At 48.7% G+C, this 25,259-nt stretch overlaps 2 long non-coding RNA genes across 2 annotated transcripts, besides 1 other annotated feature; one reads left to right on the top strand and one right to left on the bottom strand.

Annotated features, from left to right (window-relative positions):
• Window positions 1-2,540: 2,540 nt before the first annotated feature.
• LOC105375602 (uncharacterized) lies at window positions 2,541-13,339 on the bottom strand. Its single transcript, XR_928249.4, has 3 exons — window positions 13,221-13,339; window positions 7,006-7,152; window positions 2,541-2,607 (listed from the first exon to the last, which is right to left on the bottom strand). It is a non-coding gene; the product is annotated as an uncharacterized LOC105375602 (long non-coding RNA).
• A 1,379-nt stretch (window positions 13,340-14,718) lies between these two features.
• Window positions 14,719-20,717, top strand: LOC105375603 (uncharacterized). Its single transcript, XR_928250.2, has 3 exons — window positions 14,719-15,317; window positions 19,038-19,159; window positions 20,398-20,717. It is a non-coding gene; the product is annotated as an uncharacterized LOC105375603 (long non-coding RNA).
• Window positions 16,680-17,257: an enhancer, noted in NCBI's record as "H3K4me1 hESC enhancer chr7:155936145-155936722 (GRCh37/hg19 assembly coordinates)". NCBI's record gives its function as "activates a minimal SCP1, AML or CMV promoter by ChIP-STARR-seq in primed H9 embryonic stem cells {active_cell/tissue: H9 hESC(primed)}" and the evidence as "EXISTENCE:reporter gene assay evidence [ECO:0000049][PMID:30033119]".
• Window positions 20,718-25,259: the final 4,542 nt, after the last annotated feature.

Here is a 25,259-nt window from a genome sequence, read left to right as displayed (position 1 = left end):
CCTTCCTTCCTTCCTTCCTTCTTTCTGAGATGGAGTCTCGCTCTGTCGCCCAGGCTGGAGTGCAGTGCAGTGCTCCGCCTCCCAGGTCAAGTGATTCTCCGGCTTCAGCCTCCCGAGTAGCTGGTAGTACAGGCATGTGCCACCATGCCCGGCTAATTTTTTGTATTTTTAATAGAGACAGGGTTTCGCCATGTTGGCCAGGCTGGTCTCAAACTCCTGACTTCAGGTGATCCACCCACCTCGGCCTCCCAAAGTGCTGGGATTACACGGGTGATCCCGGCCGTCTTGTTTTTTTCACAAGCTGCTGTCACTCCAAAATTTGGAAAGGAGCAGAGAACCGGGAAACAGGATAAGCACAGTGTGGAAAGTGGATCCTCAGGAAACCTGTGCCCCGTCATTTATGGAAGTGATATTTAGTTGACTTCAGTAGTACTTTCTGCATCCTTCCTAAAGGTGGCCAGGGAAGGCCTGAAGTGCTTAGAAGTCCAGGGAAAGAAGGAGCCCCACGGCAGGGAGATGTGGAAGGAGCTACGTGAGAAATATCGCCAGGCACATCGTCTTGGGCGCCCACCGTCAAACCTCTGCCCTGCCTGCCCAGCCCTCCAGACAAGCACGGGTCCTGCTGTGTTCTTATGACTGGTTTGGGCCCACGTTCAGTGAGGCCAACAGGCTTGGGAGATGTTTGTGGAGTGTCTGGGAGCCGAGGCCAGGACCAGGGTGGGCTTTGGGTCTCTACAGCCCTTCCATGCTATTCAAATCACACAGTGTGTCTCCCTCAGGGACCGTGTGGCTAAGTCCTAGAGGTGAAGGCCCCTTATGAGAAGAGCGAATTTTCTGCAGAGTGAGTTGGGCTTTTTTTTTTTTTTTTTTCACTTAGAAAACACAGAAATGCATGGTCTGGGGTCACCCAGGGCTGTATGTCCATACAGGTGTTGGCATGCCCCCTCGGCCCATGGGCCTCATTGTCCCCCCAGCCTGTCTGCTCTTGCTTCAGGTGCTTCCCACATCCTCAGCTCTGAGCCTCCCCACGCAACTCAGCCCAGCAGATGTGTGAATGGGTGCCCAGGATATTAGCTAATAGTTTAACATCAGGGCATTCCGCACTGGAAGAGGAAATTATCTGCCATCAAAGAGTGCCCAAGGTCACAAAGAAAGGTGGAAGGAGGGAGAAGCCATAGCTGGTGGGCCTGGTGTTCTCGGGGAGACACATGCTCGCATACGTGTGCACATGCACAGGCAGCCTGCTCCGCTTCCCCAGAGAGTCTAACCAAATGATCCATCCCCATGCTGCAGGAGTGGCCGCTTGGCCCACACACCTGGGAAGAAGAGCTGTAGCCTCCTGGAGAACCTGCCTGTCGGAACCAGGCAGCGCCTGAGTTCCGTCCTCCCAGGGGCCCGCCATCTCTCCTGAGCACCCCAGCCAAGGGCAGGGTGAGGCAGCCAGCTGATCCCCTCGGTAGGCTCGCTGATAGCATCTAGAGGGCTTGCTTTTCCAATGTTAATAAGCGGTTGCTACAGGTAATCAGCAGTCACCTGATGATATTCAAGGCTTATTTCAAAGCCACATGCAGGGTTGTTGTTGTTTGGGGTTGTTCAAAATCATTCAAACAGCCCAAATCGTACTAATCCCATTCTTATCTGGTGATCAAATAGAAGCCGACTCGGTGATTGGAAAAGCAACTGGACACAGTCAGCTTGGAGAGGGGTGCTCCTGCACGCTGGGGGCCTGGAAAGATGAGGGGATCTAGGGAGGCCGGGCCGAGGCCTGGCTCCGCCTCACCTGACACTCAGCCTTAGACAATGACACAGGTATTTTATGCCCCATCCTGACATTTGCTCCCCCTACACTAACACACAGAAATGATCGTGAGGAACATTCCCCCCAACACGTCAAGGCCACTGTCCTTGCCAGTCCAGGGCTCCAATACCCCAACGTATAGTCCATTAAAGCCTCCCCAGGGCAGAAACAATTAATGATCTAATGATTAATGATGGCATTGCACATAGGAAACGCTGAACACATTGTGTGTTTGAAAGAATAGGTGAACAGATAAACAAAGGTGCAAACGAATTCCTACTGTCTGGGGCCCGAGGCGAGAAGACAGAAGGCTGCAGGCCAGGATGGAGGCTGCGTCTGGGTCGGGACTAGGCTCTCACTCCTGGCATTTCTGCCCACACTCTCCTGTCTCCTGACAATCTCAGAAACACAGACATGAATATAGAGACCTCCATGGACCAGCAACGACAACATGGGCTGGCCCTGGAGGGGTCCCCCTGTGTCATCAGGGATACCCACTGGGGACTCTGCCTGCGAGGCCAGGCATCTCCAGGTGGCATTGTGTTCTTGTTGGAGACGCACATCTAGAGAGGGAAGCAGTGGCTGCACCCAGTCAGCACTGTGGCCACCAGAATAATGCAGAGATATGTAGACACGTGTGACACCTACTATTGCTGTGGATTTTGCAAAAAAAAAAAATGTATTTTTCTTCTATAGAAAATCCCATCTTCCCTTGTCGTGGATAACTCAGGGTTCCTGAAGCGGGAAATGCCTCAAGAGAACATGCTCTTGGATCACGCTGTTTCTGCCTCTAATCTTGTCCTCAGGTACTGCAGACAGATAGAAACAAAGTGGTTTTGCCCAAGAACCCATGCTTGGTGACCTGACCTAGAGCCCAGCTCCCTCGTCTCTGCCGGGTGGGGCAGGAGTTGAGTGCCTCATGAGGCTCTTCTGCCATTTTGCGAGATCTCCCATCTCCTGTCACACACAATGAGCCCCTCCAACCATAATACACTTCCAAAGAGGCAGGCCACCTTCACCTCCCCCCCTCGGCACCTCCACCCTTGCACAAGCCATTTGCCTGTCATCTCAGTAAACTCTGCTGCCCTGGCCTCCACCAGTCCCTCATTCCAAATGCCAGAGCCCTGGGTCGCCAGCTTGCTCAGGAATTTCTCAGGTGATGCAGAGAACAGTGAGTCCTGGAAGTCAACCAGCTGAGAACTTGCTGCTCACCGTCTCCTCCTGAGACAGAGGAAGGGGTAGCTGTACTTGGAGGTTGCCCCACAAGCCGTCCCCACGGGCATTTGCTCACCTGAGTACACAGGTGCTCTTCCCAAGGGCCCCACCACAGCCTCCAGACCTCCCCCAGGACACCCTGTGGCATCCGGCTCTCCAGAGGCTGCCTCCTTGCACAGCGATGCCTTTGACTGTGCCCGGTGGTCTCCCTCCATCCCGCTCTCCCCTTCCGTCTTTGCTCACACTCCTGCCCGGCTTGCAGCAGAGCCCGGTTCCTCAGGTAACATCTTCCTTTCTGTGCTCTTCTCCTGCCCCAGCCGCACCTGCCTGGCTTTCCCCTTCTGCGTGCTGGTAGCATCCAGGTCCCACACGGGATGCCAGCAGTGCTCGCCGGGCGGCTGGAGGTGCCAGGGTGGTCATTCATTGCCACGTAATCATTGCTCACCTATCTAAGGGAACACGCACTCCCCTGCTCCTCTTGGCATTGTCCCCACTCCTCCCTAGCGCCCACCTCTGTATCACTATGGGCCAGTGAACCAGTGGCACCGAGATGTGGCCAGGGGCTCATCTCTGGAGTGGGAGGTGGGTTGCAGGCCACGTTATGCCTTAGCCTCTGGGCTAAGGCCCTGCAAATCCTCCGAGGAAATGAAAATATCCCGTGGGGCCGGAAGGGGGAGCTCATTAGGCCGTGATCTGCCAGTAAGTGACCAAATGAATTCGTCAGCCCAGCCCTGGCAGAGGCAAGATCCCTGAGGCATAGGCGGGGGAGGGGAGTGGAATCAGGACAACTCCAGGTGGAGGGGGCCTGGGAAGAAGGAGTGAGTTGGCAGCAGAGCTGGGCAGTGGGGGGCAGCGAGAGAGCATTGGATCCCCAGCCAGGAGCCCACCTGGGAGGAGAGAGGAGACAGAGGCGAGCCGTGCACCCCAGGGTGGCCACAACCAGCCTGGAGCTTGGGAGCAAATTGCTTTGCAGTGAGCCCAAATTAAAGCATCCATTATAGTTTCTGCTCTCAAGAAATCAGTTGATTTCCCCTCTGTTTAATCAATCAGAGACATCCACAAATGGCAATCTACGGGCCTCTCTGTGTCTAGCTCCTGTCTGGCTCTCTGCCCGGCACTCATCTGCATCCTAATCCAAGCAATTCACCCTCCTCCTCACGGCCCAGCTCAGATCTCAGGACCATTGTTCATCTCTCAGCCATTCTCAGGCCACAGGCAACAGCAGACTCAGATGTTTCTCGTCCCCACACCTCCATTTAACCAGCTTCGGCATGGCTGCCCCTGGAAGGTGAAGGCCATGGAGACATAGAAGGAAGGAGTGTGGAAACAACCTCTCTCTGTCTCCACAGCACACACATATCACAGCCAGGGGCCTGGGAACACGCCCAGGTCAGTCCCACGTAATCCAGCCCTGCAACTACACACATGCATTGTGTCTGCACCTGACCGTGTCCACACCTGTACTATGTTCAACCTGCATGGTGCCAAAACCTACACTGTGTCTACACCTGCCCTGTGTCCAGAATGCACTGCATTCACACCACACTGTGGCCACCCTGTACGGTCTATACTTGCATTGTGTTGACACCTGTACTGGGTCTACACCTGCGCCATGTCTACATCTGCACTGTGTCCACACCTGGACTATGTCTATACCCACACCTGTGAGGTTCTCACTTGTCCTACGCCTACACCTGCACCGTGTCCACACCTGTGACATCCCCACTTGTTCTACGTCTACACCCGCACCACGTCCACACCTGTGACGTCCCCACTTGTTCTATGTCTACACCCGCATTGTGTCCACACCTGTGACGTCCCCACTTGTTCTACGTCTACACCCGCACCACGTCCACACCTGTGACGTCCCCACTTGTTCTACGTCTACACCCGCACCACGTCCACACCTGTGACGTCCCCACTTGTTCTACGTCTACACCCGCACCACGTCCACACCTGTGACGTCCCCACTTGTTCTATGTCTACACCCGCACCACTTTTTTTTTTTTTTTTTTTTTTTTTTTTTTTTTTTTTTTTTCTACGTCTACACCCGCACCACGTCCACACCTGTGACGTCCCCACTTGTTCTACGTCTACACCCGCACCACGTCCACACCTGTGACGTCCCCACTTGTTCTACGTCTACACCCGCACCACGTCCACACCTGTGACGTCCCCACTTGTTCTACGTCTACACCCGCACCACGTCCACACCTGTGACGTCCCCACTTGTTCTACGTCTACACCCGCACCACGTCCACACCTGTGACGTCCCCACTTGTTCTACGTCTACACCCGCACCACGTCCACACCTGTGACGTCCCCACTTGTTCTACGTCTACACCCGCACCACGTCCACACCTGTGACGTCCCCACTTGTTCTACGTCTACACCCGCACCACGTCCACACCTGTGACGTCCCCACTTGTTCTACGTCTACACCCGCACCACGTCCACACCTGTGACGTCCCCACTTGTTCTACGTCTACACCCGCATTGTGTCCACACCTGTGACGTCCCCACTTGTTCTACGTCTACACCCGCACCACGTCCACACCTGTGACGTCCCCACTTGTTCTACGTCTACACCCGCATTGTGTCCACACCTGTGACGTCCCCACTTGTTCTACGTCTACACCCGCACCACGTCCACACCTGTGACGTCCCCACTTGTTCTACGTCTACACCCGCACCACGTCCACACCTGTGACGTCCCCACTTGTTCTACGTCTACACCCGCACCACGTCCACACCTGTGACGTCCCCACTTGTTCTACGTCTACACCCGCACCACGTCCACACCTGTGACGTCCCCACTTGTTCTACGTCTACACCCGCACCACGTCCACACCTGTGACGTCCCCACTTGTTCTACGTCTACACCCGCACCACGTCCACACCTGTGACGTCCCCACTTGTTCTACGTCTACACCCGCACCACGTCCACACCTGTGACGTCCCCACTTGTTCTACGTCTACACCCGCACCACGTCCACACCTGTGACGTCCCCACTTGTTCTACGTCTACACCCGCACCACGTCCACACCTGTGACGTCCCCACTTGTTCTACGTCTACACCCGCACCACGTCCACACCTGTGACGTCCCCACTTGTTCTACGTCTACACCCGCACCACGTCCACACCTGTGACGTCCCCACTTGTTCTACGTCTACACCCGCACCACGTCCACACCTGTGACGTCCCCACTTGTTCTACGTCTACACCCGCACCACGTCCACACCTGTGACGTCCCCACTTGTTCTACGTCTACACCCGCACCACGTCCACACCTGTGACGTCCCCACTTGTTCTACGTCTACACCCGCACCACGTCCACACCTGTGACGTCCCCACTTGTTCTACGTCTACACCCGCACCACGTCCACACCTGTGACGTCCCCACTTGTTCTACGTCTACACCCGCACCACGTCCACACCTGTGACGTCCCCACTTGTTCTACGTCTACACCCGCACCACGTCCACACCTGTGACGTCCCCACTTGTTCTACGTCTACACCCGCACCACGTCCACACCTGTGACGTCCCCACTTGTTCTATGTCTACACCCGCATTGTGTCCACACCTGTGATGTCCCCTCGGAACCTGGCACCCACAGACAACACCCTGGTGTGGTGCATGGGGATGTATGGGGTCCAGCCGTTCAGGAACAAAATTCTAGAAATTCCTGCACAACTGGGGTCACTGTTTCTCAGCTGACTCCCTAGGGTCTCTCCCGTTGAGGTCATCGGATCCTATCTTTTGCTGTCTTGTTTTACCCAAAGTTGTATTCTGTTAGCCTACTCTGATGTTTTTCTAGACTGCTGCGGGGGGGACGGGGGGTTCTGCCATTTGTGTGGTGCTCACAGCTGGGCCCTGGGGATGGGACGAGAAGGTGCCAGGGGCATGCAGCCTCCTGGCATATGGGCAGCCCGGGAATGAACCTGGTCCCTCCTACAGGCCTGGCTGCCCTGAAGCCAGCACTCACTCACATTGCATCTCTCCATTGCTCTTGGTTTATCCATGTGTCTTCTCCCCAGTTTTATGGCAGGCTTCTCTGGAGGGAGAAGCGGAAGGGAAGAGTGGGAAGCCGACAGACAGGTTCAGAGGTTGGTCCTTCCACCTATTCCCTGTTAGTCCTAAATGGGAATAAAATATCAACTTCTTAGAATTAGAATAAGAATTAGCTGAAAGAAATGAAGGCAAAGTGCAAAACTCCTAGCTTTCAGTGAGTGGAAAATGAATGTGCTCTTTCAAGTTCCAGAAAGAGAGTGGAGAGTGGAGCCTTGTTTCTATGTCATGCCGTTCATGGCTCCCAGGGCAGAGCGGCATGGTTCAGTTGCTGTATGAGCCTGTTTTCATGCTGCTGATAAAGACATACCCGAGATGGGGCAATTGACAAAAGAAAGAGGTTTAATTGAACTTACAGTTCTATGTGGCTGGGGAGGCCTCACAATCATGGTGGAAGGCAAGGAGGAGCAAGCCACATCTTATATGGATGGCAGCAGGCAAAGAGAGAGAGCTTGTGCAGGGGAACTCTTCTTTATAAAACCATCACATCTCATGGGACTTATTCACTATCAAGAGAACAGCACAGGAAAGACCTGCCCCCATGATTCAATTACCTCCCACCGGGTCCCTCCCACAACACGTGGGAATTCAAGATGAGATTTGGGTGGGAACACAGCTAAAACATATTAGTTGCTATCTAATGGCCACCAGGTTTGGATGGAGTTAGCTAGTCCCAAGAATTGATTGAAGTCTGCTCTGACAGAGTTGCCAGATCTTGCCAATAAAAATAAAGAACACCCAGTTAGATTTGAAATTCAGATCAACAACAAATACTTTTAAGTATAAGTATGTCCCAAATATTGCATGGGAGATACTTAGACTAAAAAAAAATTCATTGTTGATCTAAAATTCAAATTTAACTTGGCTCTCTCTACCTGGCAACCCTGAGTGGAAGGGGTTTCAGAATCACATTTATGGGAGGATGGAAGGAGAAAGTGCTTTCAGAAGATCTGTGTTTCTTCCTGTTAGAAAGCCTGGCTGGAAAACCTCCCGGATTTACTGAAATATGTGAGCAGGAAAACCTACCGGATTTACTGAAATATGTGAGCAGAAAAACCTACCGGATTTACTGAAATATGTGAGTCCTGATTTTTATGGGCATTGGCCTCTCAACTTGTTGACTTAGAGTCGAAGCTCCTAAGCAGGGAAGACGTGGAAACACTCCGGAGGTCTGTGGAGGACCACAGAGACAGCTTCCTGTACTCAGCCTTGATTCCCTGGAGCAAGTCCATCAGAAACTGGAAAGAGCTGATGATCATTTTTCAATTTAGGTCAATGGATGTGAATTTTTATTGTCATTTTTATTTCTGAAATTTGAGGCATCTTATCAATGTGGTAATAACATTTCTTATTGCAGATCTGAGCTGACCTGAACTTACTGCATTGTATCCAAAGGGCAGAAATGAGTTTTCTAAGACTTTGTGGAAGTCACTATCAATTTGTTTTCCCTGGAGTCATGCTTTAGAAACACTTCTGAAAGCCAGGTTCTGTTTCTCCCTCGTGGACAAGTGACAACTCCCTTCTTCTCATAGTGGCTCTTAGGGATTCTGGATCAACAGGCAAAGTATGTATGATTATCATTGTCTTCCCCACTACTTCTCACGCCTCCTTCTATGCAGCAAAAACACTCAAAGATAATGCCACGAATTACAAGGTAAGGCAGGCCCGAAGAATTTTTTCTTGGTAATAAGTTATCCATTAAATACCACTGAAGCTGTTCTTGTTGTAAAACGCATGTCCACATCATCACAAATACTTTTTATAAAGTACTAGTAGTAAGACATTAAAAATGACAAAAATTCCTTTAATCTATAACAAAATTAATTTGCCTCACAATGAAATAAATACTGCCCAGACTGGTCTCTCCAGCTAGAGGCTACTACGTGAGTCAGGAAGACCATGGCTTTCTAATAAAGCATCAGTAAGAATTGGACCATTTCGCCTTCTCTCCTTCTCTTCAGTGAAGACGAGTGCTCTTCTCATGATTTATAACAATGGAGGATGTGACAGAACATCTCCTTTTGAGAAAAATGAACAAGCACTCTAAGTTTTACAAGCTGAAATGTGTCCATGAATCAGCCAACAACCACTGCTTTATAGAGCCAGAGAGAAAGGGAGAGAGAGAAAGAGAAAGAAGAGCTAGAATGGTTTAGGATTTAGAAGTCTGAGTCCTCTGCTGTCCCATCCAAAATCCAGGTCAAATGCAGTGTCATATCAGTCCCTACGTCCATCACCCCATGGGTGTGTACCAGGGACATGTGCAATGCAGAACAGAGATCACTGAGAAGCATTTTCTTTCGGACAACTTAAAATCTTGAAGGAGGAGGCGGTGCACATACAGGAAACACGGCAGGGGGTAGAGCACGTCAGTCACCTGCAGCTAAGTCATTAAGTCACCATGGCGAGCACTCCAAGCAGGAGGAGGAGGCAGAGAGTGACAGGTGATTTGGGGGTAGCTCTTCCACTTTCCCAAGATTTCCATGAGCGTCGGGCAGGGACAGTAAACACTGAAGTTTTTTGTTAACTTTATCCTAATAACAAAATATGATCTCCTGCAGGTGCATTGAGAATTTATTTATTCCAGACAGAAAGGTCAATTATATCCAATTTCTCATGCAGAGTTTTTAGGGACCCTATGTTCAACCTTTCATCTGACCTAATACTTCTGATGCTAAGACACATCCCCAAAAGATGTAGTGGCTCATATAAGCAATTTTTTAAAGATTGGTTTTTGTTGTTGTTGTTTGTTTTTCTTTACTGGGGTAAAAAACACATATAAATTTTACCATCATAACCATTTTTAAATGTACATTTCGAGGATGGGAGTGGTGGCTCACACCTATAATTCCAGTCCTTTGGGAGGCCGAGGCAGGTGGATCACCTGAGGTTAGGAATTCAAGACCAGCTTGGCCAACATGAGGAAACCCTGTCTCTACTAAAAATATAAAAATTAGCCAGGTGTGGTGGCGGGCGCCTGTAGTCCCAGCTACTCATGGAGGCTGAGGCAGGAGAATCGCTTGAACCCAGGAGGCAGAGGTTGCAGTGAGCTGAGATCACGCCACTGCATTCCAGCCTGGGTGACAGAGCGAGACTCGGTCTAAAAAAAATAATAAATAAATAAATAAAGTACAGTTCAGTCGCGTGAAGCATATTCACATTGCTGTGTAATGGGTCTCCAGAACCTTTTCATCCTGCAAATCCGAAATGCTGGCCCCATCGAACAACACCTCCTCTCGCCCCCGCAGCCATGACAGTAATTTGGAAGGGGGTTCACCGTCAAGGAGGGGGCGTCAAGGATGGGGCAAGGAGCAGCTTGAGCATGTACAGTTTGGAAAAGCCTCCCTAGGATTCTGATGGGCCCCTTGAAAGGCGCCTCTGGGAGTATCTGACTTAAAGGCACATTCATTTAAACAGACGGAAAGTGCAGTGTGATTGTGAGGCACAGACGTATGCTGGAAACCACAGTCTTTTGATCCATTCAAACAGCAGGAGCCTTGGCCCTGCCAAACACAAGCAGTGTGATTAGAGGAAGCGCTTAAGCACGGAGAGCCTCACTTTCCTCACCTGTTGGGGGAATAAAGCAATAGTAACTTGCAGGGCTTCATAGGGTTTAAATAAGATTCTCTGTAAACCACGCAGCATGCTGTGTGGCGTGTATTAGATGCTCAGTAAATGGCAGCAAGGACTACTGCAGTCCGTGCCTGAGGCTTCCTTCCTTTAATTTGGATGTGATAAATTCTGGACGACATCACCCAGCTGTCATTTAAAGATGTAAGTGGAATAAACTGAGAACCTGCAATGACATTAACTGTCTCTCGTTCTCATATGCATGTTAGAATTATCTGGAATTTAAAAAAAACACAGAGGCCAAGGCCTCAACTGGATCAAATGTGTCAGTATCTGCAGGCATGGGATGTCCTAGGTCTAAGCATTTTTCAAAAGCCTCCTGGGTGTTTGTTACTGTGAAACCAAAGTCAAGAACCCTAGATTATGGGAGCAATGAAAAATCTAAGATGAAATCAGAAGGGAGAGACGTGGCTCTGGGAAGGAGATTTTGCGATGCTCACAGCATGTCTCCAGGTGGCCCTCAAGAGAAAATATTGGCCCATTGGTGAGCCCTGGAGGAAGCACGAATCAGGAGAATTCAGAACCACGGGGTTCTGGCAAGAACAGTGGATATGAACAACACAGGCGTGGGGAAGGCCCGTGAAAGCAGGAAGATGAGCTCTGGAGAGAGAAGTCCTTGGAGCTGGAACAATCCTTCCTGTGCCTTCAATGGTTTGTTGTCTCTGTGTTGGTTGGTCTGCCCTTGGTCCTGGTTAATGGGCTTCACTCGGTGAAAAGAAGAGCTGAGACTATCGATGAACCAGACCTGGAGTCCACATCCTGCCACTCCCTCCAATGGGCCAGGCTTCAGTTCCTCACCTGTTGAACTCGTGGAAGGAATTAGATACTCAGCATGGAAACATTTCCTAGGTTTTGAAACCTCCATAAACTGGTATTGTGTGTGCGCGCTCGAGGGCCCTTGGTGTCCGTCCTGATGGTCTGGAAGCTCTGCCTCAGGATGCCGAGCGTGAGGAGCCCAGTGAAGGGGGCACAGGGAGGCCATGAGCCCCTAAGAGGCCCCACATGTGCAGCCAGGAGGGTGAAACTTCTGTGCAAAGCCAACCTCATAGAGCTTTGCACACACCCCACACAGCACACAAGGCTGTCCTGCAATAAGACCAGCAGGCACACAACGAAATGACCAAGGTGAACAGACTCTGCGTGAGGGGTGCACCTTGCCTATGATGGAGACACAGCCAGGCAGGGCACTCACTGGTCCTGGCTGGAGAGGGAGGAGGGCAGGTGTGTTCACCCCAGGAGAGAAGAGCCGTCTCCAGCCCGTGGTGCACAATGCAAACCAGCAGCACGGCAGGAAGGCCTCCACGTGTGGGCAGTTTTCTCGGGAACTCATTCGGGTAACTTATCTTTTTATTCACTGCAAATCCCAGGCCTGTGCCTTTTCCCTCTCAAGAACATTAAGTTCTAATCCCTTCCAAATCCTTTCCATAAAAAGTGTGATACTGTTAAGAGTTCTATAATGTCATCTTCCTGGGGATTCGGATTTTCACTAGGAAAGTTTTCAGCTACAGAAATAAAGCTTTTAAAATACAAGCTCAAGCAAAGCAAGCAGGCAGACAAGTGGCCCAAAATACAGGTGGGTTTTCCAGTTCTCCACGGTGACTCAGCAGATGCAGGGAACCCCTCACAGTGTCCACGACCCAGGCCCAAGGTGATACGGAAGGTGCAGGGCCCCCCTTATAGTGTCCACAGCCCAGGCCCACGGTGATACGGCAGGTGCAGGGCCCCCCTCATAGTGTCCACAGCCCAGGCCCACGGTGATACGGCAGGGGCAGGGTCCCCCTCATAGTGTCCACAGCCCAGGCCCATGGTGATACGGCAGGGGCAGGGTCCCCCTCATAGTGTCCACAGCCCAGGCCCACGGTGGTATGGCAGGTGCAGGGCCCCCCTCACAGTGTCCTTGGCCACCTCCATAGAGGAGAAGGCAGGAAGCATGAGCACACGGCAATCTGACTTTCTTTGGCCCCTCCTACGTGTACCTCCTTCCACACACTCCGGTATCATATTTGCAGGGCTCCATCAAGCTGAGGGCTTCATGGGCAGACCCCTAACTCCCTGTGACCTACACGGCTGGCTGGAGCCCCGTGTTTGGCTGTGACCTCTGGCTGGCCTTCCAAGTCTGATGTGGCAGGTCTTTCCTCAGTAACTGAAAGGCCATAAATGCAGCTACTCTGCAGGAAGCCGCAGACCAACTGGAAATGGCAGTGGGGGCTGATGGAGACTGAGAGCTTATTCAATTTTGGGTAAAAATCTTTGCAAATTACCTGCATTCTCACTTTTTTTTTCTTTTTAGAGGAGTCTAGTGACTAAAATCAAATACCTTAGGTTGAACCATTGTGGAGCACTCATATTTGACCATCTTTGACCACAAAAATGGCAATTCCATATACTTAATTTCTGCAATGAAGGCTCTTAAAGTTCCTTGGGTCACCATCTATGATTTCAACTCTCCTTATAAAATGTTAGGGAGTGGCTAATTTTACATGAGGCTCTGAGAAGCTTTGTGACTTACCCAAGACCAGGAGGGACTTGTGCCCTGACATACAGAAGGGAAGGCTGAGCTGGAAAGAGTGGCTGCATCGTATTCTTTAGATACAATATTTTGTAGCACCAGCCTCTTAGTCATTTCAGAGCTGGGAAAAATGTAGTTTGGACTTTGGACTTCTGATAAATCGCATTCCCACTAATCAGGCTTTGGCTGTGGTGACTCCTGCGGTAAGCTGGGGTGGCCTCTGCCTCACTGTGCCTGGTGAAAAGCGCCTTCAGGATTTGAGAGTCATGGCACTAACTAACCTGACACCCCAGTTCAGAAGCCCAGAGATTCCAGTAAGTTTCTCGATCTCCCCAGTGAATTCTTCCCGTGGGATGGAGAGAGTGCCATGTCACTCCAATCCTCCTATTTAATGTCCAACCATGAATCGTTTTTACATCTTTAGTGTAATTAAGACCCTTAATCCCACTTAATACCCTGGCCCCTGTCACTGGACAGCGTCTATGTGCTTGGAATGGGCCATGAGGAATTGTCTGTCATATTTAAGTTTTGCTAAGTGAACTTTTATTGAAAGTGGCTTTAAACAGTTTCAGTCTTCTGCAATAGTTTTCAGTGACTTGTGTGAATGCCAGAAAGTAATAAGCTAATGTTTCAAGATAATAGAAATGAGGAAGATTTGTTTTGTTTGAGGGTTTGGTGATTTTTCCCCTGAGGTGTATGAAAAAGATGCCCTTCTCCACTTCTTTAAGGCCAAGGAAGAATCCCATATTCACGGAGGGTGGTCAGCCTGTGACCACTAGAAAGGCACACAGTAACATTTTCTCTGGGTCTTTGAAATTCTTAACAGTCAGATTCGCAGTGCAGCTTGATTTCACCTCTAGTTGGTTTTTTTTTCTTTTAAGAATTTTGCTATTCTTAAAAGCAGAATTTAAGCAGAATGGCAAAGGTGCTGACCGGGAGGGACTGGGATGACCAGAGGCAGGCACAGCTCCCTTGAGAGCATCTCAGCTGACTGTCACCCATTCCTGGCATCCTTCCCACCTGCCAGAGCAAGCTGCAGCACAGCTTTCTATTTCTCCCGGCTCCCAGCCCTCCCGGAGCCCCATGTGCTGCTCTTCACGGTCTCAACCCCTCTTTGGAACAATTAATAAGAAGAATCCACCACCTCTGACTCTTCCTTTCATATGCCTTCCCCTTCTCATTTCCAAGGTCGTCCCATAGGAGAGAACCTGTTGCCATGTCCTTCAGCTGGCTCCCCCACACCGCAGCCCATGTGAGCTGGTGTTTATGCCGAGTTCATGTGGGTCCTGATCCCAACTTTCCTTGCTGCTCCTCTCCAACTTATCGAAATCCCAGTCACCCTTCAGGGGCCATCTTGGTTTCCTGTTCTTCCTAGAGGCCTTCCCCGGCCCTCCCAGCCACAGCAATCTCTTCTCTACTCCTTCTACCCATAGAACTCCCTAACTATGACATCCACGGAACCTGGGTTGTTCCACGGGGCATCCTAATCTGCTTGCGCTGCTGTAACAAAGTACCCCAAACTGGGTGGCTTAAACCGAAAACACGTATGTCTCACAGTTCTGGAGGCAGGCGAGTCCTAGATGAAGACACTGGTAGATCCAATGTCTGGCAAGTACTCTTCCAGTTTTGCATACGGCTCTTGACCTCCTTTAAACCTACCAATCCCAGAGGCCTCACCTCCTTATGCATCTCCCTGGGGGTTAGAGTTTCAATAGATGAATTTTGGGAGAACAAAATGTGCAGTCCGTACCATGGGGTTCATGATTTTTTTAATGTGTGTATATTTCCCTAATTAGACCGCATGCCAAAAAGGAGGTACCCAATCAAAGTGCGTTAATGAAAAGGCAAATTGAACCGAAAACATTTAAAATCAATTTTTTTTTGCAAATTTGAAACACACCATGCATTATTATAAACTACAGTCATCAGGCTATGCAATGCTTCACTAAAACTTGTTCTTTTTGTCTGACTGACACTGTGGACCTATTGACCAGTGTCTCCCCAGTCCCCATTCTGCTCCCCACAGCCACAGCCCCTGGTAACCACCCTCCTACTCCCGGCTTCTACGAGTTCGGCACTTTCAGATTCCACACCCAGGTGAGATCACGTGATATTTGTCTCTCTGTGCCTGGCTTTTAAACTTAGCGAAATGTCCTCCAGGTTCATCTGGTGCTGGATATGTTAATTAGCTTGACTTAATCATTCTGCAACGAAAGCATAGTTCAGAACCTCACATTGTACCCCATAACTATATATAATTATTATTTGTCAATTAACAATTTTTCAAAGATAGAATTGGGCACAGCAAAGCAAGGTAAAGCTCTAGGTCACATTTTATTGTTGTGAGAAGAGCCTGGGCTCCTGGAAGAATCGGCACCACCCCTTCTGGTCTAAGTGCCACCTGTGCGGGGAGCCGGGAACCCAGAAGGGAACATGGATTCCTGTGTCCACGGGCAAAATGATGTTTCCCAAGGAGTGAAAGAGGTAGGAAGGAGCATTGAAAGCCCATCTTCCTTAATAAGCAGCCTAAAAATAGAATGAAGATAAAAGCAGTATTCAAACGCATACAGTGTCATACAGTATGCAAGTCTGCTGTCGGCGTGCTTTTCCATAACACTGTATCCCTCCCTCCATGTTCTACACACCTCTGCTCCTAAATTGATCACTGAAATGCAATCGAGAAAAATCTATTAGAACAAATCTGAGGCAAAATATCATGGGCTTGAAATAATGAGAGAGAAAAAAACTGTATTTATTTTTGAGTGAGCATTTTCAAGGTAGACTTTTCCTAAGTTGGGGGGAGAATTTTGAAAATATTAAGCTAAAAGGAAGCATCCCCCTCGTAAGATCCAGTATAAATTAAGAAACTGAATTGCACTGACGCCCCAAATGGAGAAACCTGGTTTGGGGATCCAGATGAGAAAGCCCCCGGGCTTCAATGGGATCACAGACGGAAGAGCCCGACCTCACTCTTTGCTGATCAGTTGGTCCCTGTAGTTGCATCCAGTGTGGGCTGTCACACATAAAAGGCGCAGGATACATTGCAACGTCCCCAGAGGTGACAAGGCTGCAAGAGGTTGTGGACCGTGTCACATAGGGATGAGCTCCATGGACTGACAGGTTTTATTTGTCCTGAAGAAAAGCAGCTAGTAGTTGTCTTCATCATTTAGGAAATGCTGTGAGCTGCCTCCAGGGCTGGAGCTCCAGGGTCGGAGCTCCAGGGTCCAGGCTCCATGGAGAGAAGGGGCAGGAAAGCAGGGGGAGGAGTTGCACAGTCCTTCTAAGGCCTCCCAAGAGCGGGGTCCAACTCCCGGGAGGACGTGCCAGAGTCAGGGGACCCCAAACCCAGCCGTGGTGGAAGAGAATCCAGGGCTGGGCTGACTCCTCCAGTCCTTCCCCACCCCAGAGCTCGTGAAATAAAGAATAATGAGGATGTGGGAGGCGGGGATACACGGCCCCATCCTTTCCCTCTGCCAGAGGCCTGTCCTCCTGAACAAGGTGCCCATCTGGGCTGAGGGGTCCTCCGGGAGTGAGGTCGGGAGCACCCCTTCCTGCTAGGCTGGGGCAGACTGTGAGCCAGGAGAGCCTGTCCTCCTGAACAAGGTGCCCATCTGGGCTGAGGGGTCCTCCGGGAGTGAGGGCCAGAGTGCCCCTTCCTGCTGGGCTGGGACAGGTGGTGAGCCAGGCGTCCCATCTCCTGCTGGCTCCCATCTGCCCCTGGCACTGCTTCCTGCCTCTGGGGACCCTTCCTTCAGCAGTTCTGCAAGTGCCCAGGACCCCTGCTCCCTGGGGCCCTCCTTTCAGGCCACGTGTGCAGTGAGAGGTCCCTGAAGGTCCCAGATGCAGCTTTCAGGGTGACAGGGACGATTTGACACCAGATGTGCCTTCAGTACTCTCCTTTTCTGAGGTGGGTGTTGGTCAAAATTGTTCTAGTAAGCAGGCGTCTTCCAACATGCCCGCCCCCTCCGAGGATCTGGGAGACTGGTGTCCCCGCCATGGAGAGGGAACTGGGAACGGCGAGGGAGGAGACAGCCCCCTTCCTGAGCCTCCGAGGTCCTCACTGCAAGGCAAGGTACCCAAGCAGGGCTGCCGGGGCCTGCCGCTCACATCCCCGCAGGGCAGCCAGGGCACGGGGTGGTCACCTCGGGACGACGCAATGAGGAGAGGAGCACGGAAGCGCAGACGGAGGCCGGCCAGGCCCAGCATGCTCGGGATTTTATATCCGCTCTTCCACTAACCGGGTCTGTGGTCGCGAGCAAGTCGGTCCATTGAATGATAAAATTCTAGAAGGTGCGCTCTGAAAATCATGCAGCTCTTACATCTTCTTTTCACATATTTGGCCTGTATTTGTCTTGTTGGGAAACCACAGTGTCATACTTAGAATTACAGAAGCTCAGAGCTGGAGGAATCTAGCCATGAACTAATACCCCTGGAAAGCATAACAACCTCCTTTAGAGCAAGGGTAGGAAGCGAATGTACCGTCACATTTTTATTTTTTATGAATAAATGTGTGGTCAGGATGGATGAGTTAACTTAATTCATTCATTAAATGGGACACATGATCATAGAGAGACTGTTTCCTCTTCACTCAACATTCTCCAAACTACCACAAAGTCAGAACATTACTTTGAATACAGGGTCTTAAAAACAAAAATTCCATTTTTTACATCATACCGTTCCAAGTGCATGATAGTTTTCTTTCACTGTTTTAATCTTAAATTTCAAAGCAAGATATGCTTAGAACATTAGAGGGTGTTTATACAAAATGTGCATTGCTGAGTAATCAACGCACGCTCGAGAATGCTGTTACATGTTTAATACAACTTTTGTTTTAGTTGAGTTTCTTAAGCTGATTAGTAAGGATGACAGGATTTTAATTGGGGTCCTCATTTTCTTTTAATCTTTGGAAGACATCAGGGTTTTTTTTTTCAGCCCACATAGTTAATCAGTCATGAAAATCTTCCCAAGAAGAGCTTTGTTCTTAATTATTCATAGAGAGCATTATCCGGTTCTGGTCAAGACAGGTTAGCATTCCAAACAAAAGATATCTTAATGATGTCAAAATAATGTGCACATTTCTCACCTTTGGGCCAGAGAAAATGGAAGAGTATCTTTTTTTTTTTTTTTTCCCAAATAGCCAATCTTTCCAAAGTATTCAGCCCTAACTTCATTATACATTGGACTTGCACAAATCCTTACAAGTGTGGGTGCCTTTGACAAGAGCTTCCTGCCTGGGCCTCAGAGTGGCAGTGGGAATGGGACTCTCCATCACGGCAGGAATGCATTTATGATCATGCATTGCTTAAGTCTGTTTTTATTTCTCGTTTTATGGAAAATGCAGCAGTAATCCCTTTAGAATTCCCCTCAGCTTAAATCTCAGAGACCGTTCTCGGCCGCCTCTTAATGTCTCAAGAGTACTTCAAGTCGTGTAAGCCCCATATTCAACAGGTAAAGCCCACTTTGTTCTATAGAGATGGCTGGAAATAATGTGAAATTAAAGATTTAATCTTCTGGGGGCAACGCAGCCTTTCCATAGTTTGTCACAAAGAAACTAAAAAGTCTAGCACCTTTTCAGTAAGTAGAAAAGTCCTTGATTGGCAGGGCCTGCTGCATTGATCCCCAAAAGTATGTTGCTAAAAATTTTATTAATACAATTAGGCAAAGAGACGACTGCACAGTCTTAAATGTTGGGGGAGATTTCATTTCATGATGAAGTTTGCTTCTATTATTAACCTAATTGACAGGATTTATGTGCAGGAAAAAAAAAAGGAATCAAGCTTTGGTGACAAATTAAGTCCCTCTTTTTCTATTCATAAGAAAACTCCGACTCCACCAACACGAATTAGAAGTGGCAGTCAGAGGACATTGCTATGAGAGGAAGGAGTTCGAGGAGCAGAGATTATCCCAGCCTGAATGTGCCCTTCGTTGATTTCATGATGGTGTGTTGTATTTTACTTCTAAGCAGAATACTTTTTAACCTGGTCTATAGTTTGATTTAATTTCCCATATTGAGATTTTTTTTTGGAAGCATGATAGGAAAATGAAAAAATATCTACTCACTTGTTTTTGCAACCTGGCCCACAAGCATGCTTTCCAGAATTTCACCCAAGCATTCTTGGGCCTGGGCACCTCTGAAATTGTGCCACAGCCATCACTACCAAAACTGCTCTGCTGGGACTGAGCTGCTCTGGAAGAGGGGAGGTGTGGAGGGTCATTCAGAGACGTCTCTCATCCGGGCTCTGAAGTTCTGAATTTGGCCCATCATCTCAGAAAACTTCAGATGCAAATATTTTTATTCTCAACACCCATGATGCAGTAGCAGGCTCGTTTGGGGGAATGAACTGGGACACATGATCTTCATGTGCACACACTGTCCACGGTGGGCAGCCGATGTTGATGCAGTTGAGTCCAGTGCAGCCTCCCAGTGTACTCCCCCAGACAGCAAACTGGCAGCTCAGAATGAAACCATCTAAATACTCAGCCTTTGGGTTTAAATCCTGAGTGCTAAACCAAACACAGGATCTACACAGCCACAGACCCTTTGCAGATAAAGTCCACTGCAGCCGCCTGCCTTGCCAGTGGAAGCTGGTACTTTCAATCGGTCAACAAGCACACAGAGGGCGTCATTAGTTCATTTCAGCAAATTATTTTCATTGCTGTTTCTGTTATCTGTGTAACAAACCACGATCCACACATAGTGGCATAAAACAACAACTTATGACTCCTCTCAGTTTTGTAGTCTGGACTGCGCTTAGCCTGGTGTTTCCACTGCTCTAGCAGCTGGGGCAACATTGTCAGAGGTGTATCCTCACTCGCTCGTTCAGCACCTAAGACGGCTGCAACAGCTGCAACCGCAGGGGCTGGCTGAGCACTAACTCCCCATCACCCCACCCCCCACCTGCCTCTTTCTCCTCTCTCTGTCTTGCCCCTGTCTCTGGGTGTCTCTCATATTCCCTCCACGTCTCTGTCTCTCACCCCCTCCTTCCCCTTCTCTCTGCCTCAGTTTCTGTTTCTGTCTCTGTCTCTCTCTCTCTCTCTCTCTCTCTCTCTCTCTCTCTCTATCTCCATGAAACCAATCCACATGCCCCACTCGGGCTTGCATTAGTTTTTTTGGGCTATCGTAACCAAGAACCACCAACTGACTGACTTAAAACAATGGAAATTCATGTTCTTGCAGTTGCGGAGGCAGAAGCCTGAGGTCAAAGTGTGGCAATCACGCCCTCCTGGCTGCTGGGCTGCCAGAGTCCTCGCGTTCCTGACTGCAGCTGCACCACTTCCATCTCTGTCTCCATTATCCCCTGTCCATCTTCCCTCTGCCTGTGTCACTTCTCTTCCTATAAGGACACTCGTCATGTTGGATTAAGGGCCCACTCTACTCCAGCATGACCTCATCTTAATGTACATCTTAATTACATCTTCAAAGACCCTATTTCCAAATAAAGGCAAACTCGCAGATACCAGGGGTTTACATTTGAACATAACTTTCATGGGGGACACCACTCCACTGTGCTTCCTCACAGCACAACGTCCTTGTGGCAGAGGGACTTCAACACAGCCTTGGCCCACAGGAGGGACCTCCATGCATAGGAAGCAGCAGGATCCCCCATGCAAAGGCCCAGCCTCATGTCCATCACACTCCACGGAGGCACAGCCCTTCCCAGACCCAAGGGGAAAGCAGAGGCCTCCCTCTGGGTGGGGACATGAGCAAAGAATTTGCCCCACTGCTAATTAGCCACAGTCACTTGTTATGAGGCAGGTCCCAGAGACACAAAGATGTGAGAGCCTCAGCCCCCTGTGTCTAACCACGTGGACATGACAAACATTCACTCACCCTCTGGCTCCAGCCACCACAATTCAAGCATCTTAAAGAGCATGAAATGATGGCTTCCATCATGCTTTTTGCTGTGAGCTACGTTTGAGTTGTGTTGAGATAAGCTCAGAACTTCAACAGATGTTGCTACCCTATGAGGTGCCATGGAGAGAACCAGCACAGAAAACCAGTCCTTTCTCCTAGAGACACTTAAACAAGACAAAAGGAGAGAGAACCCATACCTGCAAATGCTCATGCAACAAACGTGACTGGCCATTCTGCCAAAAGATGCATTTGCTGCAGAAAAAATGAGTCCCGTCCTTCAGCTTCAAAGTGTTCACCACGTGACCTACAGGACAATCTGAGAGCATTGCAAAGACCATGTACGGTAACAACCATAGCAAAGTGCTAACCTGACAAAATAAAATGCCAAGATATGTGACACCGGCTGAAGGACCATGGCAAGCCAGCAATTGAAGGGACAGGTGCATGAAGATGATGGCCAGTCGATAGAGCAGAGATCATGTCCATCAGCATCAAGGCAGCATGCAATTCCTCCCTCGGCTCAGACTGCTTGAAAATGTGGAGGCACCATAGAAATCATCAATAATTCCATATGTCTATGTACACAAAATGCAAAACAACTTTTGGAAATGGAAAAATTGGGTCATACCAATCACAACATCTAATTTAAACAGCACCATCAGAAAATGAAGTTAACAGTAGAAGCGAATGATCCCAGTAACTAAAATGTACTCAATTTACAAACGGGGTGCAGTAGGAGGGGTGCACTGGTTGGACAGATGACTGTCAGATGCACTCAGGTGATGTCCTCCGAGGCTTCTGGAAAGGCTCTGGAACTTGGTGTACTGTTTGTGCACCACCTTGCCCAGATGAATTTCTTATCACTCTAGAGCAGTAACAAGTAAGAGTGTGAATTTCCATTTGGCTAAATGGAAGCTATCCCCGTGATAAACTGTACTCCTCCCTTAACTGAAGGGGCCACTGCCGTCAACAATACTCTCAGGGGCTCCCTTCCTCCCTCCTCCATCAGCACATTCAGGGACCCTCACCCACAGGCAGCCAGGATGGACATAGGAGGAATGCTGGGTACTTGGGGTAAGGTGGTGGTTCCCAGAATGTGGTACGGTCCAGTATCATCCACGTCACCTGGGAGCCTGTCAGCAGTGCAAATTCTCCCTCCTTCCCACCCACTTTGGGTGAGGGGCTGCCATCTGTGCATTCTGGAGCCTCCCTGGGATGCTGAGGTGCTCATGTCTGAGGACCACTGGGGTCAGGCACTGTTTTCAGAAGGCCTGTAACTGTGATGACATCAGCTGGAAGGAGCCACTGCAGGGGTTAGTCAGGCATACCTGAACCTTAACATGGTTAAGAGTCAGCCTAGAACCCAGTGTAGGAGATGAACCCAAAAGAAACCACAAGAGGAGGAATGTGGCCATCTGAAAGCAGCATTCAGCTTCCACACAGGACCACAGTGAGAAAGGTGAGGGCCCTCAGAGCAAACCTGTTTCTCATAAAGCCCAGTTATGCTCATGACTTGGGACAACTTGGGGATTTCTGGATCAAAACTTGTTTTGGGGAAGGAAGCCAAAGCAAAGTCCCAGTGATGGCTGGAAGGAACAGGTAAGAAAGGCCGTGCCTATCCTATAAACTGGTGGAGCTCAGAAAGCAATGGCATTAGAGGAGGTACACCCTGGCGGCTGGCTGACGCAGTGACCAATAGGAACAAACCACTTCTCTCTCATTGCTCTGCCATTAGAGATGCTGACAAGGCCAGGTGTGCATGTCTCAGCCTCCCATAAAGCTAGTGTACGTGGGCCATGCGTCGTGGTCAGCAACCCAGAGAAGGAGCTGCAGACAGGCATCCGGGAAGCTCGTGCATCTTTAATAGATGGAACTGAGAGGAAGAACATGGAAACTCTCCCTCTCTCTCTTTTCTTTGTACAATTGTGGCAGCCTCTTTGCATCAATGAATTGATGAAGAGGAGGTTGGAAAGTTGGATATTGATCCTTCATGGCATAAGAAGCTGTGATAATCGCCCCAGACTTCATACCAAGGGAGAGAAGTAAAAGGTCGTATTGCCCATGCCACCACTCTTTGAATTTACTTGCAGCCAAAAGCCTTCCTAACTGATAAAATATCATCAAATTATTTTTTCTTTAAAAAATGCTTAATTTGTGAAGAATTTGAGACGTGTATAATTTGCTTTTTCCCCAGAATAGTATCACTTAAATAGCTTTCCTTGACTAGTTTGCTTCAAGGTACCTCAAGGGAGCATAACAGGCACATTATGGTTAGATATAGTAAGGATCACCTTTATTCTGAAATGCCATCTTAGGAGTATTTACAAATAAATAAGGGCTTACTTTTGCTGACACATTTGCAAGGATTGGCCCAGAAAGATTGAGGTTTTGTTGTGCTGGTCTATTTAATTCGATCACAGTTCACATTGTTCTTGTATTGCTAATGCCACTGCTCTGAATTTACTTGCAGCCGAAAACCTTCCTAACTGATAAAACATCATTGAATTATTTTTCTTTAAAAAATGCTTTAATTATTCAAGAATTGAGAAGTGTATAATTTACTTTTTTCCCCAGAACAGTATCACTTAAATTAGTTTTACTTCACTTCAAGATACCTCAAGTGAGTGAAACAGGCACGTTATGGTTAGATCTTCTTACAGTCAGGGTCACCTTTCTTCTGAAATGCCATCTTAGGAGTATTTCCAAAAGTGCTTAGTTTTGCTGACACATTTGCAAGGACTGGTCCAGAAAAGTTTGAGATTTTGTTGCACTAGTCTATTTAATTCACTCACAGGTTGAGATTTTGTTGCACTGGTCTATTTAATTCACTCACAGTTCACATTGGCCTTCTACTTTTCCACCTTTATAGGCTCATTCCATTCTTTAAGCCACTCTCCTGAGGATAAAAAAATGAGCTGCCTTTTGTGAAGCATTTGCTGTGAGCCAGAACTGGATCTGCTGTGCAAGGCCCCTGTGTGCACTCAGGGCAGTCGCATGAGGAAGATGGTATCATTACACCTGTTTTGAGGAAACTGAGGCTTCGAGTTTGGTCACTTGCTATAAAGCACAGTTAGGAAGCAGAGATGCTGGGGTACAAGTCCAGATCAGGCTGACTACACTCATATTTTTAGCCACAGCACTATTCTGTCTCTCTAGAAGACACATCTCTCGATATCAAAATTATAAGTTGCTCATGTGAGCAAAGTGCCTTACCTTTTGATCCAACAGTTTTCCAGGCTGAATTAGACTCATTTCTTGTCTGTCTTAATTTGCATTTCCCCAGTAGCCGATACTGAGAAAACAATTTCAGTGAAGTGCTTTGTTTGGTATAGGATCCCATGAAACATTGTTGGGAGAAGTGAAACTGAGGAAGGAAGGCAGCCAGTAGAGGATATGATACGTTCTCAAAGGATCACTGTGGGCACACAGAGTCCAGTCCTACCAGGGACTCAAGGCCAGCATGTAGCACACACCTTAGAGTTACAGACCTGAGGAGGAGGGAGCTGGAGTATTTATGCACCAACTTCTGTCAGGCATTGGTTGAAAATTACTCTTGGGGACATTAATTCCTTGCACTCTGGTGTGCCACATGCACAAGTAGCATGGGATTCAGCAGTCAAAGGAGGCGTCAGACAAAGGCACGGAGGCAGGCAGGATGGGGCAGGAGCTGGGGTGGCATCACTGATGTGGTGGGTGAGGAACAGGGATGAGCACCAACGGTATCTGCTATGTGGATATTCCACACAATCCAAGTCCGAATCATGTTTAGTTTTATCGAAGCATTTTATGTCCATAGTTTTAAAAAGTTGCCCTGTAGCCCTCCCTCTAGATGACTCTCTAAGCTTCCTCTTCAGCACACCCTTCCCTGCTCCAAACGTACAGCAACTATAGATACAACTAGAAAGAGGAAATTTTAAAGCATAGTCAAAAAACAAGAAAGCGTGAATACATATTGAAAAACTGCCCTAAAAATATCTGTAAATAGAATATGTGAAAAGAAGTAGGCACCATGACCAATTAGGATTTATTCCAAGAATGCAAGACTGGTTCAATATTTAAAATCAATCAAGGTAATCCACCATATTAACAAGCTAAAGAAAATTCACAGGATCATATCAATAAATTCAGAAAAAAGCATTTGATAAAACTTAATGCCTTTTCATAATAGAATCTCTCAGAAAAAA

This window comes from Homo sapiens, chromosome 7 (genome assembly GCF_000001405.40).
Source record: "Homo sapiens chromosome 7, GRCh38.p14 Primary Assembly".
NCBI lineage: Eukaryota > Metazoa > Chordata > Mammalia > Primates > Hominidae > Homo > Homo sapiens.
This window is presented reverse-complemented; position numbering and strand designations above follow the sequence as displayed.